This window comes from Homo sapiens, chromosome 13 (genome assembly GCF_000001405.40).
Source record: "Homo sapiens chromosome 13, GRCh38.p14 Primary Assembly".
NCBI classification, from domain to species: Eukaryota; Metazoa; Chordata; class Mammalia; order Primates; family Hominidae; genus Homo; species Homo sapiens.
The window spans coordinates 67,507,181-67,519,707 of NC_000013.11; the positions used below are offsets into that span (position 1 = coordinate 67,507,181).

Genomic DNA, 12,527 nt, shown 5'->3' on the forward strand with positions numbered 1-12,527 from the left:
TCCCTTCCATAAACATGTCAAAAAGGCCATGCTCACATTTCTCTCCTAGAAATGGGCGCACAACAGTGAAAGTAGAGACAAGACCCTGCCCTCATAGGGCCTAAAATAGACCAGGTTATACAAATTTTGATGAAATAAATATTTGAATGATTAATTAGTTAATTGCTACCAAGGACTGCTTTAGAAAAGACATGCAAATTGCTGTGAGAGAGGAGTTTTATTAGTCTGAGAATAGTATCTGAGAAATTTTTCTGAGAAAGTGACAGTTAAACTGAGAATTTTAAAGAATACAAAAGTTTTTTGTTTTTTGTTCTTTAATTCCAGGCAAATGGAACAATAGCATATGTGAAGGCCTGTACGTAAGAAGCTAGAATAAATAAAGGAGTCTATTGTGAATGGAGCTAAGAAGAGTTTAGAGCAAGAAGAGAATAGAGTAGAGCTTTAGAAATACACAATTATTTTATAAATGAGAACACAAAGCACCAAAGAGCCAATTTATTATATCATTCCATCATGTGGTAATAAATGATATGGTTTGAGAAGGAGCCAAAAGTTTGATTATAGAGAACAGGGTGGATATGATTGATTTAACCTGCATTTCACCTCTCTTCCATGGTGAAGTAGCCATGTATTTGGGGTCATGGCTCTCCTCTATAGGTCTTTTTAAATACAAATCCCATCGCCCTTGCTAGTGAATGACTCAGGATCCCTGACTAGAACCAATTACCTCACAGTTTTCCTCTGATGATAATGCACAATGATCCAAACTGACCCAGTAGGACATAAGACAGAAAGTTTTAAGACTTTCTCTTTCTCTGGATTTATGTGCAGAATGGAGCCTAGCTTGCAGATGCCAAACCAAGAAAAGTGCAAAGAAATGGAACTGGCAGAATAGAACTAAGTTAGCCTTGAAGCCTATGATATCTGTGCTTCCCAGTAAGAGGGCTAATTTTTTTTTAGTTATTAGAAGTTAAGAAATTCAAGATGGAAAAATAAAACAATGCTTTAGGAGGTAAACCAGGCCTCATTATGATGTGCAATACAAAATTATGAGTTTTATTGGGGGGGTGCCCATTCATATGTGATATAGTTTGGCTCTGTGTCTCCACCCAAATCTCATCTTGAATTGTACTCCCATAATTCCCACATGTTGTGGGAGGGGCCCAGTGGGAGATAATTGAATCATGGGGGCAGTTTCCCCCATACTGTTCCCATGGTAGTGAATAAGTCTCACAAGATCTGATGGTTTTAGCAGAGGTTTCTGCTTTTGTGTCTTCCTCATTCTCTCTTTGCCTCCTGCCTGTAAATTGCCCAATCTCGGGTATATCTTTATCAGCAGTGTGAAAACAGACTAATACAGTAAATTGGTACCAGTAGAGTGGGGCATTGCTGAAAAGATACCCAAAAATGTGGAAGCAAGTTTGGAACTGGTTAACAGGCAGAGATTGGAACAGTTTGCAGGGCTGAGAAGAAAACAGGTAAATGTGGGAAAGTTTGAACCTTCCTAGAAGCTTGTTGAATGGCTTTGCCCAAAATGCTGCTAGCAATATGGACAATAAGGTCCAGGCTGAGGTGGTCCCAGATGGAGATGAGGAACTTTTTGGGAACTGGATCAAAGGTGACTCTTGTCATGTTTTAGCAAAGAGACTGGCAGCATTTTGCCCCTGCCCTAGAGATTTGTGGAACGTTGAACTTGAGAGAGATGATTTAGGGTATTTGGTGGAAGAAGTTTCTAAGCAGTAAAGCATTCAAGAGGTGACTTCGGTGTTGTTAAAAGCATTCCATTTTAAAGGGAAACAGATCATAAAAGTTTGAAAAATTTGCAGCCTGATTATGCCATAGAAAATAAAATCCCATTTACTGGGCAGAAATTCAAGCCAGCTGCAGAAATTTGTTGCAGAAATTTGCATAAGTTACCAGGAGCCAAATGTTAATCGCTAAGACAATGGGGAAAATATTTCCAGGGCGTGTCAGAGGTCTTCACCGCAGCCCCTCCCATCACAGGCCAGGGGGCCTATGAGGAGAAAGTGGTTTTCTGGGCCAGGCCCAGAGTCCCTGCGCTGTGTGTAGCCTAGGGACTTGGTGCCCTGTGTCCCACAGCTGCTTCAGCAGTGGTTGAAAGGGGCCAATGTAGAGCTTGGGCTGTGGCTTCAGAGGATACAAGCCCCAGGCCTTGGCAGCTTCCACATGGTGTTGAACCTGCGGGTGCACAAAGGTCAAGAATTGAGGTTTGGGAACCTCTGCCTAGATTTCAGAAGGTGTATGGCAACGCCTGGATGCCCAGGCAGAAGTTTGCTGCAGGGGTGGGGCGCTCATGAGAGACCCTCTGCTAGGGCAGTGTGGAAGGAAAATGTGGGGTTGGAGCCCCAACACAGAGTCCCTACTGGGGCACCACCCCTACACAGAGTCCCTCCTGGAGCTGTGAGAAGAGGCCACCATCCTCCAGACCCCGGAATGATAGATCCACAAGCAGCTTACACTGTGCACCTCAAAAACCCGCAGGCCTTCAATGCCAGCCCATGAAAGCAGCCAGGAGGGAGGCTGTACCCTGCAAAGCCACGGGGGTAGAGCTGCCCAAGACCATGGGAACCCACCTCTTGCATCAGCAGGACCTGGATGTGAGATATGGAGTCAAAGGAGATCATTTTGGAGCTTTAAGATTTGACTGCCACACTGGATTTCAGGCTTGTATGGGGCCTGTAGCCCCTTTGTTTTGGCCAATTTCTCCCATTTGGAATGGTTGTATTTACCCAATGTCTGTACTCCCATTTTATCCAGGAAGTAACTAGCTTGCTTTTGATTTTACAGGCTCATAGGGAGAAGGGACTTTGGGGGGCTGCTGGGAAGGCATGACTGGTTTTGAAATGTGAGGGCGTGAGATTTCACAGGGGCTAGGAGAGGAATAAAACGGTTTGGCTCTGTGTCACCACCGAAATCTCATCTCGAATTGTACTCCCATATTTCCCACATGTTGTGGGAGGGACCTGGTGGCAGATATTTGAATCATGGGGGCAGTTTCCCCCATACTGTTCTCATGGTAGTGAATAAGTCTTATGAGATCTGATGGTTTTAGCAGGGGTTTCCGCTTTTCTCTCTTCCTCATTATCTCTTTGCCTCCTGCCAAGACTTGCTCTTCCTTGCTTTCCGCCGTGATTGTGAGGCTTCCCCAGCCACGTGGAACTGTAAGTCCAATTAAACCTCTCTGTTTAAAATTGCCCAGTCTCAGGTACATCTTTATCAGTAGTGTGAAAACAGACTAATACAATATGGCTTTATAGGCCTTCATTGCTTTTTTGAATTGTGAAACAATATAAAATTACAATATATGTTCATAGACTTCTCTGTTTTCAAAGTGTTTCCAGTCTTCATATATCTTTGTAGATAAACTTTGGTTTCTCTAGGCAGTGCCTCACAGGAGAGCATAGCCTTGGTGGAAATATCAAGGATCAATAACTGGTGATCCTTGAATGAATGTACAGAAATTCCATTATGTTAACTTAGTGTGGGTTGATAGCTAGAATATTATCATGTTACCAAAAATCACAAGAGATTGTTTGGTGTGTCAGTGTGTGTGCTTGTCATCCCCACTAGAGAACCTGAAGAGAAGGAACTCTGCTTCATTTATTTTCGTAACTTCTTAAAACATTCTTTCCCATGTTTATTCCTCTGGATCCCTGACTAATACCTGCAGCTTCTTTGCTGGCTTCTGCTCCTTGAATAAAATTCTGACATTTTCAGTTTCTTGGACTCATTTCTGTGAATCTTTTCTGTTTCCACTCTCTTCTCAGGAAATTTCATTTAAATTGTATCAGCATTAATTTAGATTATTCAGATTTCACATCTTCACAGACATCCAGAATTCTATTATGATCACTTACTACCTTTTGTCTTAGGTTTCATAGGTGTCTCTGTTTTCACAAGCCCAAAACAGTTTGTGATATTTTAACCTAAAACTCATCCAGGATTTTCTATTTTAGTTACACTGCTGGTTTTAAAAACAACAATAAAATGCACACGAAACACACACACACACACACATTCAGGCATTTCCTAAATTTTATGATTCTAATATGCATGAATTTTAGCTATTATGGCATATTAACTTTGACTAATGGCATAAAGTACAGATTCTGCTGCTAGTTTTTTAGTCTACAAATTGCTGCATACATAACAAATATGCCTCATGATCAATGTCTAACCATGCAACTTTTTACAAAGTGTGTCAGTGAGCAGTCCTTACACACTTGCTATTCAGTTCAGATGCAGACAGCAAAGCATGTAATTGTGTTGCTTCCTTGTCTCCTATTGATAAACCCCTGTGATATGTTTTTTCAAATTAGGTAACGGAAAGAGGAAATTGCCAAAAAATAGTAAAACACAGCAAAGAAAATAAAAGTGGTAGCAGTAAAAGTGAAATTAAAATCTAATGTAACTGGAATTATAGAAAAGATAGCTAATGGTAGAAGAGTTGATACTCCACTGTTTGACAGGCTCTAGATGTGCAGCCAGAGGAACTTGGTGCAGGTGAGCTCATGGACATGAATGAAGTAAGTGATGTGATGAAAAGGATTAAGATATCCCAGAGGACATGATACCAGAAAAGAACACTTCACATTAGAGGAACTCTTAAAGATGATTTCTGACAATAAAGGTACAAAGAATAAAATGTTGCATGCTGATCCAAACTTAGAAGGAAGTATAATAAACTTTACAAAACAGAAAAAAAATATTGTTTCAGTTTCATGAGTTATAATATGCAAAGAAGACAAACACTATTCAAACTACTATTTTTAAAAATATATATATTTTCAATGGTTTTAACATTTTAAATTTCTAAATATATATTAGTTTTGCTATTTTTCTTTCCCTATACGTTTATAACTGACAGTATTGGAGTGTTTATGTCTTAACAACCAATTTTAAAGGTCACAGAACAATAATTTTCCCACTGATTTTAACATCGCTTTGTGCAGTTTCAGCTTGCATGGTCATTGTTAGAGTCCTGTATTACTATGCATAACAAATAATGCCTGTATGCATAACCAATACATTATTTTCCATTTTCATTTTATCACCATAATCTAAGCATCATCATCTCTCATTTGAACAAATGCAATAATTTCCCCATTTTCCCCCTTCCACTCTTGGTTCTAGCTCATCCCCTATAGGGTAATCAGATTGAGCTTTGATAAAAATAAGTCAGTTCATACTAAATCCACATCCATAGCACAGGGACTAAAACCACAGCTCTCCACTTCATAACTCTATTTACAAGATCAGTAGCATGCCCCTCAGGCTTGGTGTAACACCTCTTTCTCACTAACAGGGGTCAATGTGTCCATAGGCAGCATTAGGTTAAATCCATTCCTCCTGCTACTTGTGTTTAAAGATAACCCTAAACACTGAGACTAAGACCATGCATCCTCAGGATTCCTACTCTGCATTCACAGAAGTCAGGAGAAAGCTGCAGACCTGCTGCCTGCTCTGGCATGCATAGCCTTGATATTTTTATCTGCCTTTTGTCCATCAGAACTTATTTTGTAATCAGTCCACAATTGAAGGTGCTCATTTCTGAGTCACCTCACAGCTCCTGCATTGTAATCCCTCCAGCAGCCCTCATTCCCACTCTTCTGTCATTGTCATATACTTTTCACTATGTCATCTGAGGGAAAATTCCCTGGATCTTCAAGCTTTTCTCTGAAGCCTTCATAGTCTTGCTCCATTTTGCAACGCTCTTCCCCTGCAGCCTTCTCAATTGACGAAGGCGTTGTTGCTGTTGTTTTCCTTCCACAGCCTGAATCCACCAGGTTGGTGTCCTACTCACTCTTCATTGTCATTTCCAGATAATTCTTCCCCCTTTCTCTTTAAAAATTGTTTTGAATCCCATGTTTTCTGAATTAACTAGTTATACCTCTCATTCTCGTCTACTGCCATTCCTTTAGCAGACTCTCCCAGATTTTAACATTTTAAACTTCTGCTTCAGAGGTTCTTCAACACTACTTTGATGACTTTTCTCAATAATTTCAGAGTAGTTTCTCTTTGTGGCAACTGGATATTTAGTTTCTTAATTCTCTCCTCTATTTATCTTACGTTTTACCCTGTCTCAGGCACTCCCAGAAGCATATTCTGGAGCTTGTCATCACCTATGATATCAGACCCTTCTTAATCTGAATTTGATGGATCTTGTTCTCTCATGACTACACTATATCTTTCTAGTTCATTCCATTTGAATATTTCAAAAGTCTTTTTAACTGTATTGAACTTTTTTTCAGTTTCCTTCATTCCCTCAGTTTCTCTCTTTTCTGATTACCTGGATTAATTTCATAATCAATCATTAGAATAAAAACTTTCATATACACTCTAATTTTTTATACCCTCTTTACAAAATTGGTAACCAACTAAATCCGGCTCTCCTCCTACTCCATGCTTGTACCAATACAGCTGAATGTGAATGTAGAAAAACATACACTTGTGTTGACTGGTATCATTTTATAGTCATGATGATAAACATGAAGCCGACTCCTAAGGCTGTTCGCAGTTATGCTGTCATTCCTTATGTGTCACTCTCCTTTTCTCCTGAATGTCAATTTCACATCTTCTCTTTCCTCCTTAAGTCTTGAATACCTTTCCTATAAACCCATTCTTATGTGACCTTGCTTCTCTGAAAACTGTAGATAGCTGAGCCAAATTTCCTGTAAACGCCATCATTATATCTACCCATTTATCAGAATCTGTACCCATATCTTCTATTACTCTCTAAAGCTAATCAGGCCCCTAACATTTTTACCACATTCCACTCCTCTCCTTACACTAAAATATTGCTGCAGAAATTTGCCCCCCATTCTCATCATTAATTTTTTAATTAGATCTTTCCTATCATCGTGCAAACTTCTTGTTAGCTACCCATTTTTACAAAATAAACAAACCAAAAAAACACGTTTTTATTTTTTATTTTTTTCTTGATACGACTTTTCTCATCTGCTACCTCTGCCTTTATTTTTGTTTCTGCTTGAAGCAAAACTCCCTGAAAATATTATGCTCACTCACTGGGTTATTTCAAATTTCTTTCTTCCAATTATTAAAACACACTTCAATCTGACTTTCACTTCAATCACTCTGTCAAAGTGGTTTTTGTCATATTCATCAAGGCCTCCATGCTAACAAGACTTGTGGTCAATTCTCAGTCTTCAGTTTGTGTAACCTTTTATTCTGCTCTCTATATCCTTGGTAATTCATTTTCTTCAATATTTTTCTATGATCCCGATTACTTTTGGCTTTCTTTTTACCCCACTTGCTCTCTCTTCCCAATCTACTTCACAGTTTTCTCCTCCTTCCTGCTGGAATACCCAGGATCTTTTTTTCTTTACTGAAAAATCACTCTCTTAAATATGTATCTCATTTATTGTATCGCTTTCAATGATATCAATATGCCACCAACTCTCAGATTTATGTATCTACTAGTGAGTGCTCCCCTAAGTTCATACATCCGCCTGCTTATTTAACATTAGCTTGAGATATTGGTAGATATAGTTAACATTTCCGTGGAATATCTAATAAACCCTTCATAATTGACATACCCAAACCTGAACTCTTGCAGCAGAAGTGAAGCTAAACCTGCTATATGCGCAGTGTTCTGCAACTAAGTTAATGAAAATGCTATTCTTTTAATTTCTAAACGAATAATCTGAACTTTGCCCTTCCTCTCATACTCCACATCTAATTCATAACAAAATACTCTTGAGTCAATCTCCAAGTCCCATGAAAAATTGCATTTCTCCTAGCCCACTTCGTTGAAACCACATTCTCAAGTGGAGTGATACAATAGCTTCCTAACTGGGCTCCCTGCCTCCACCTGTTCTTTGTCCCAGCAGTAAGTGTAACCTTTTAAATATGTACATCAGCTAAATTCACTTCTCTCTTCTAACCTTGCTAATAGATCTCCATGTCAATCAAAGGAAAACCCTAAGCCTTACTAATTGCTTACAAAGCTCTACATGATCTACTCTTCTTCCTTCTCTCATCATTCTCTGACCTCTTATTCTGTTTCTGCCCCTCCCACTCTGCTCCAGAAATTCAGGCTTCTCTGCTTGTTCAAGAACGCATCATATAACCTCCCATTTGAAAACTTTTACACTGGTCTTTCCTGCTGCTCATTATCCCTCCTCCGTTACCCTTCCCCAATATCCATATGGCTTACTCCTACCCCAAATCTCCTTCCTGAATGCTCTATTAAAATATTTTACTCTCTTCCCTCACCAGCATTTTTAACCTTTCATGTAACTTAAGCACAGTGTCTGAAACACAGTAAATATTAAATACTTTTAATGAAAGAATTAAAACCTTTCAAAGAGTTTTCAAAGCCCATTAGGGTAAAGTCAAATGCCTTGTCATGTTTGTAAAACATCCGCCTGTGTTTCCAACCTCAATTCATTCTCTATTCTCCTAACTTGCTTCTTACAGTCACACTACTTTCAGTTCTTTGAACATTTTGAATTCTTTCTCACCTCAGGGCCTTTGAGCATACTTTTTCTTCTCTCCTGATCAATATTTCCTTGACCTATTTCATAATGTACTTTCCATTTTTCTGATCTTAGCTTAAATGTCACACTTGGTGTTGTTTTTCCTCACTATCCTATGTTACTGTTAAACCTCCATGTTATTCTGCATCATATTATTATATTCTGTATTTCTTGTTTGGCTCATTTATATTTTTCTTGTCCATTGTCTCTTCTCTCTAAAAGAATGTAAATTCAATTGTATCAAGACTTACTCAGCTTGTTCAAAAATGCAACCCCAACATGAAAACACTGTTTCTGGCAACCATATGCTCTCAATAAATATTGGGTTTTGGGTTACAACAAAACAGAACAAAACATAAAGTGTGACTCATAAGTTAATGACACCAGTTTGGAGGCAGTGTAGAACAGAGCTTAAGAATACGGTCTGTGGTTTCAGAATGTTTAAGCTTCAGTTCCAGTTTCACCAGGTACCCATTACAATGCAAACATACATCTGGGTTTCCTAGAACAGTTTCCAATTATGCTTGCTGAACTCATTTTTTTATTACAAGCCCACTTTCACTCTCAAAAGTCTCCTGAGTTGGAAGGAAAATTATGTCTCCCAAACCTCGTTAGGATTTTTCCTTGGTACAAGCCTTTCTTGTCCCAGTTTCTTTGTAAAGATAAAACGTATACCTAAGTCCTCTAGATGTTGAGAGGATTAAACATACATAGCATATATGGAGAATATATGATGCGTATGTGCCTGTGTACTATATATATGTATACACATATGTGCATATTTGTGTGTATGTATTTATATATGTATATGTCTGATAAAGAGCTCATAACAATATTTGACTTCTCTTATTCACAAATTTTACCTTTTAAAAAATACTCTGATCATCCCATTTAATATATAGTTTGTAGAAATACAGAAATGTATGTATTAAATATCAAAGCTTCATCTGACAACATGTATAAATTAGGGGCTAACCATTCTCTTTATAAAATGATGAAACACATGTTCATTTACACTAGAAATGTAATAGTATACTTCTTAATAACTATCTACCTTTTTGTGAGTTGAGGCACCAAAAAATAAACTACTAAAATATTCCCAATAATATTGTCAATTAGATGGGGAAATAATTTTCTCTGAATATATAGTACATATCAATAGAAAAAAAAGTAAGTTTAATGTATTAGTCCGTGTTCACGTTGTTGATAATGACATACCCAAGACTGGGAAGAAAAAGAGGTTTAATGGACTCACAGTTCCACGTGGCTGGAGAGCCCTCTCAGTCATGGTGGAAGGCAAGGAGGAGCAAGTCACGTCTTACAACAAAAAGAGAAGAGCTTGCGTGGGAAACTCTTGTTTTTAAAACCATGAAATCTCATGAGACCCACTCACTATCACGAGAACAGCATGGGAAAGACCCACCTCCATGATTCAATCACCTCCCACCAGCTTCCTCCCACAACACATGATACTTGTGGGAGTTATAATTCAAGATGAAATTTGGGCGGGGACACAGCCAAACCATATCATTCAAATACACAAAAATGTATTTAAATGCCCATTGTAGGAAATACATTTATTGTACACACCTGGTTTATTTTATTCTCTTTTTATTATTCCAAAATTTCTTCCTTATTGGAACTTGTGACTTTTTCTATTATTTTTAAATTAAATTTTTATTTTTATTTTTTGACAAAAATTATAAGACCTCTTTTACTTATTGTATTCATTTAAATCACAAAATGGGAATTATTATCATCATACATCAAGTGTGATAGAAAAAAAGAGTGTTACTGTTCATTCAACAGAGAAGGTTATGAGCCAAAAATGCTTAATATCTAAAATAGAACACAATTAATTTTAATAAGCTAAAGTGTAACAGTAAAGCAAAAAGACAGGATATGTGGTAAGCAGCTGTGGGACCTAAAGGTCATCACTAAACATGATTCTCATTTACCCTTTTACTTTTAGTGTCAGGGTCTTGTTCTGGCAACATAAGCCCTTGAGACTTCTCAAGCCGTCCTTCGGTATTGAGCTACCTTGCTCATTTAAAAGCTTAGTGATTATACTCTGTTATGATATTAATGAAAAGGTCAATGAATTCATGAAAATACTTTTTTTTTCACTTTTATGACATTCTGAACCTTTTCTTCTTTTACCATTTTCAATAAGAAACTGATCATCTCGGTCATTTTGCATAATAAATGAATATAAGCAGTCTCTGTTTGTGATAACATCACTTTCCCTTGTCATGTACTGAATGTGCAGAGTGAGGATCTCTGAATTGTTTGATATGGTACATTTTCTTGTTTTAAATAACAACAAGGGCTTTAATGGGGAAAGGAGAAAGAGAAAGTATTTTTAATAGGACAAGCTAGAATTTAGAAGATGAAAAGGTTAAAAATTACCTTCAAAATTTCATACTAAGTGCTGACATAGTGACTGTTAATGTACTTCTAGAGTGCTTTTAAACAGTGTTTTACATTGAAATTGTCTCTCTTTATGCTGTCCAAAGGACAATAGCCAGGGAAAGCTGGGAAACATCAGGTGATGAGTAAAGGAACAAAGGCATTACATATGATATATGTATATATATATATGCAATTTGGTAAGTCATAATAATGCTTATATTTTCTCATACATCACATTTATATTAAAAGAAAGATTTCAATATTTATCTCATTATGTGACCAGAAAAATGTCTTTCACTTTGAGCCAGGACAAACTTTCTTTCATACATGGATCACATAAAATATATTTGGCCAACATCATGACAAAATGTCATTTGGAGAAGGTATTGGTGTGGAAATCTTGTGATTTCTGTGTGGATATGAATTGTAATTTAAAATAAAGTTTATGGGTAAAAGCAATTTTGAGGACTTGATCTTCACTTTGATTATAGGTTTTGCGTTTCACTTTGCATATTTACAAGAGCTAATTAGAACTTTTGTAGCAAGGTCCAATAATATCTATGATCAAGTTTTACCTAAGCACTTTAATGGCTGCTATTTATAGAATCCAAGACTCTTTAGACACATTTTTAACATTTAATCAGCAAATGATTACATATATAGTTTACCAATATGCAACTCCCCAACTCTAGATACAGGTAATCATATCAGTATTCACAGGTCATCATATCAGCATTCATAGCCTGAATTCACACAATTTGGGTGCTCTGAAGTCCCTCCAGCAGGTTGGTGGTTGTTTGAATGTTTGGCCCTCCAAATCACATGTTGAAATTTGATCCCCAGTGTTGGAGATGGGGCCTAATGGGAAGTGTTTGAATGTTTCATGAATAGACTAATCCCCTCCTGGGGAGAACGGTAGGAGAGTTTTCACTCTATTAGCTTCCATGAAGCTGGTTGTTAAAAAGAGCCTGGGAGCTCCACTCTCTCTCTTGCATTCTCTCTTTCCATGTGATTTCTGCACATGCTGGCTCCCCTTCATCTTCTTTCATGAGTGGAATCAGCCTGAGGCTTTTACCAGATGCCCAGTTTTCTAGCCAGCAGAATCATGAGAAAAATAGACCTCTTTTCTTTAAAAATTACCCAGCCTCAGGTATTTCTTTGTAGATACACTAAAAAGACTAAGACATAAAATTTTAAAGAGGAGTACAGTGTTGCTATAAAAATACCAGAAAATTAGGAAGCAACTTTGGAATTGGGTAATGACAGAAGTAGAACGAGTTTGGAGGGCTCAGAAGAAGAAAAATGGATGAGGAAAAGTTTTGAACTTCTTAGACACTGGTCAAGTTGTGAGAAAAATGCAGATAGAAACAAATAGTAAAGCCTGTGCTGATGAAGTTACAGATGAAAATGAGGAACTTGGGAACTGGAGCAAATGTCACCCTTACTAAGCCATAGGAAAGAACTTAGCTGCATTGTGTCCATGTCATAGAAATTTGTGAAATGCTGAACTTAAGAGGGATCATGTAGGCTATCTGGTGGGAGAAATTTCTAAGCAGCAAAGTGTTTGAGAAGTAGCAGGGCTACTGTCAACACCTT

At 37.6% G+C, this 12,527-nt stretch overlaps 3 annotated features.

Annotated features, from left to right (window-relative positions):
- Positions 1,680 to 2,280: an enhancer, noted in NCBI's record as "H3K27ac-H3K4me1 hESC enhancer chr13:68082992-68083592 (GRCh37/hg19 assembly coordinates)". NCBI's record gives its function as "activates a minimal SCP1, AML or CMV promoter by ChIP-STARR-seq in primed H9 embryonic stem cells {active_cell/tissue: H9 hESC(primed)}" and the evidence as "EXISTENCE:reporter gene assay evidence [ECO:0000049][PMID:30033119]".
- Positions 2,281 to 2,881: an enhancer, noted in NCBI's record as "H3K27ac-H3K4me1 hESC enhancer chr13:68083593-68084193 (GRCh37/hg19 assembly coordinates)". NCBI's record gives its function as "activates a minimal SCP1, AML or CMV promoter by ChIP-STARR-seq in primed H9 embryonic stem cells {active_cell/tissue: H9 hESC(primed)}" and the evidence as "EXISTENCE:reporter gene assay evidence [ECO:0000049][PMID:30033119]".
- Positions 11,499 to 12,098: an enhancer, noted in NCBI's record as "OCT4-NANOG hESC enhancer chr13:68092811-68093410 (GRCh37/hg19 assembly coordinates)". NCBI's record gives its function as "activates a minimal SCP1, AML or CMV promoter by ChIP-STARR-seq in naive H9 embryonic stem cells {active_cell/tissue: H9 hESC(naive)}" and the evidence as "EXISTENCE:reporter gene assay evidence [ECO:0000049][PMID:30033119]".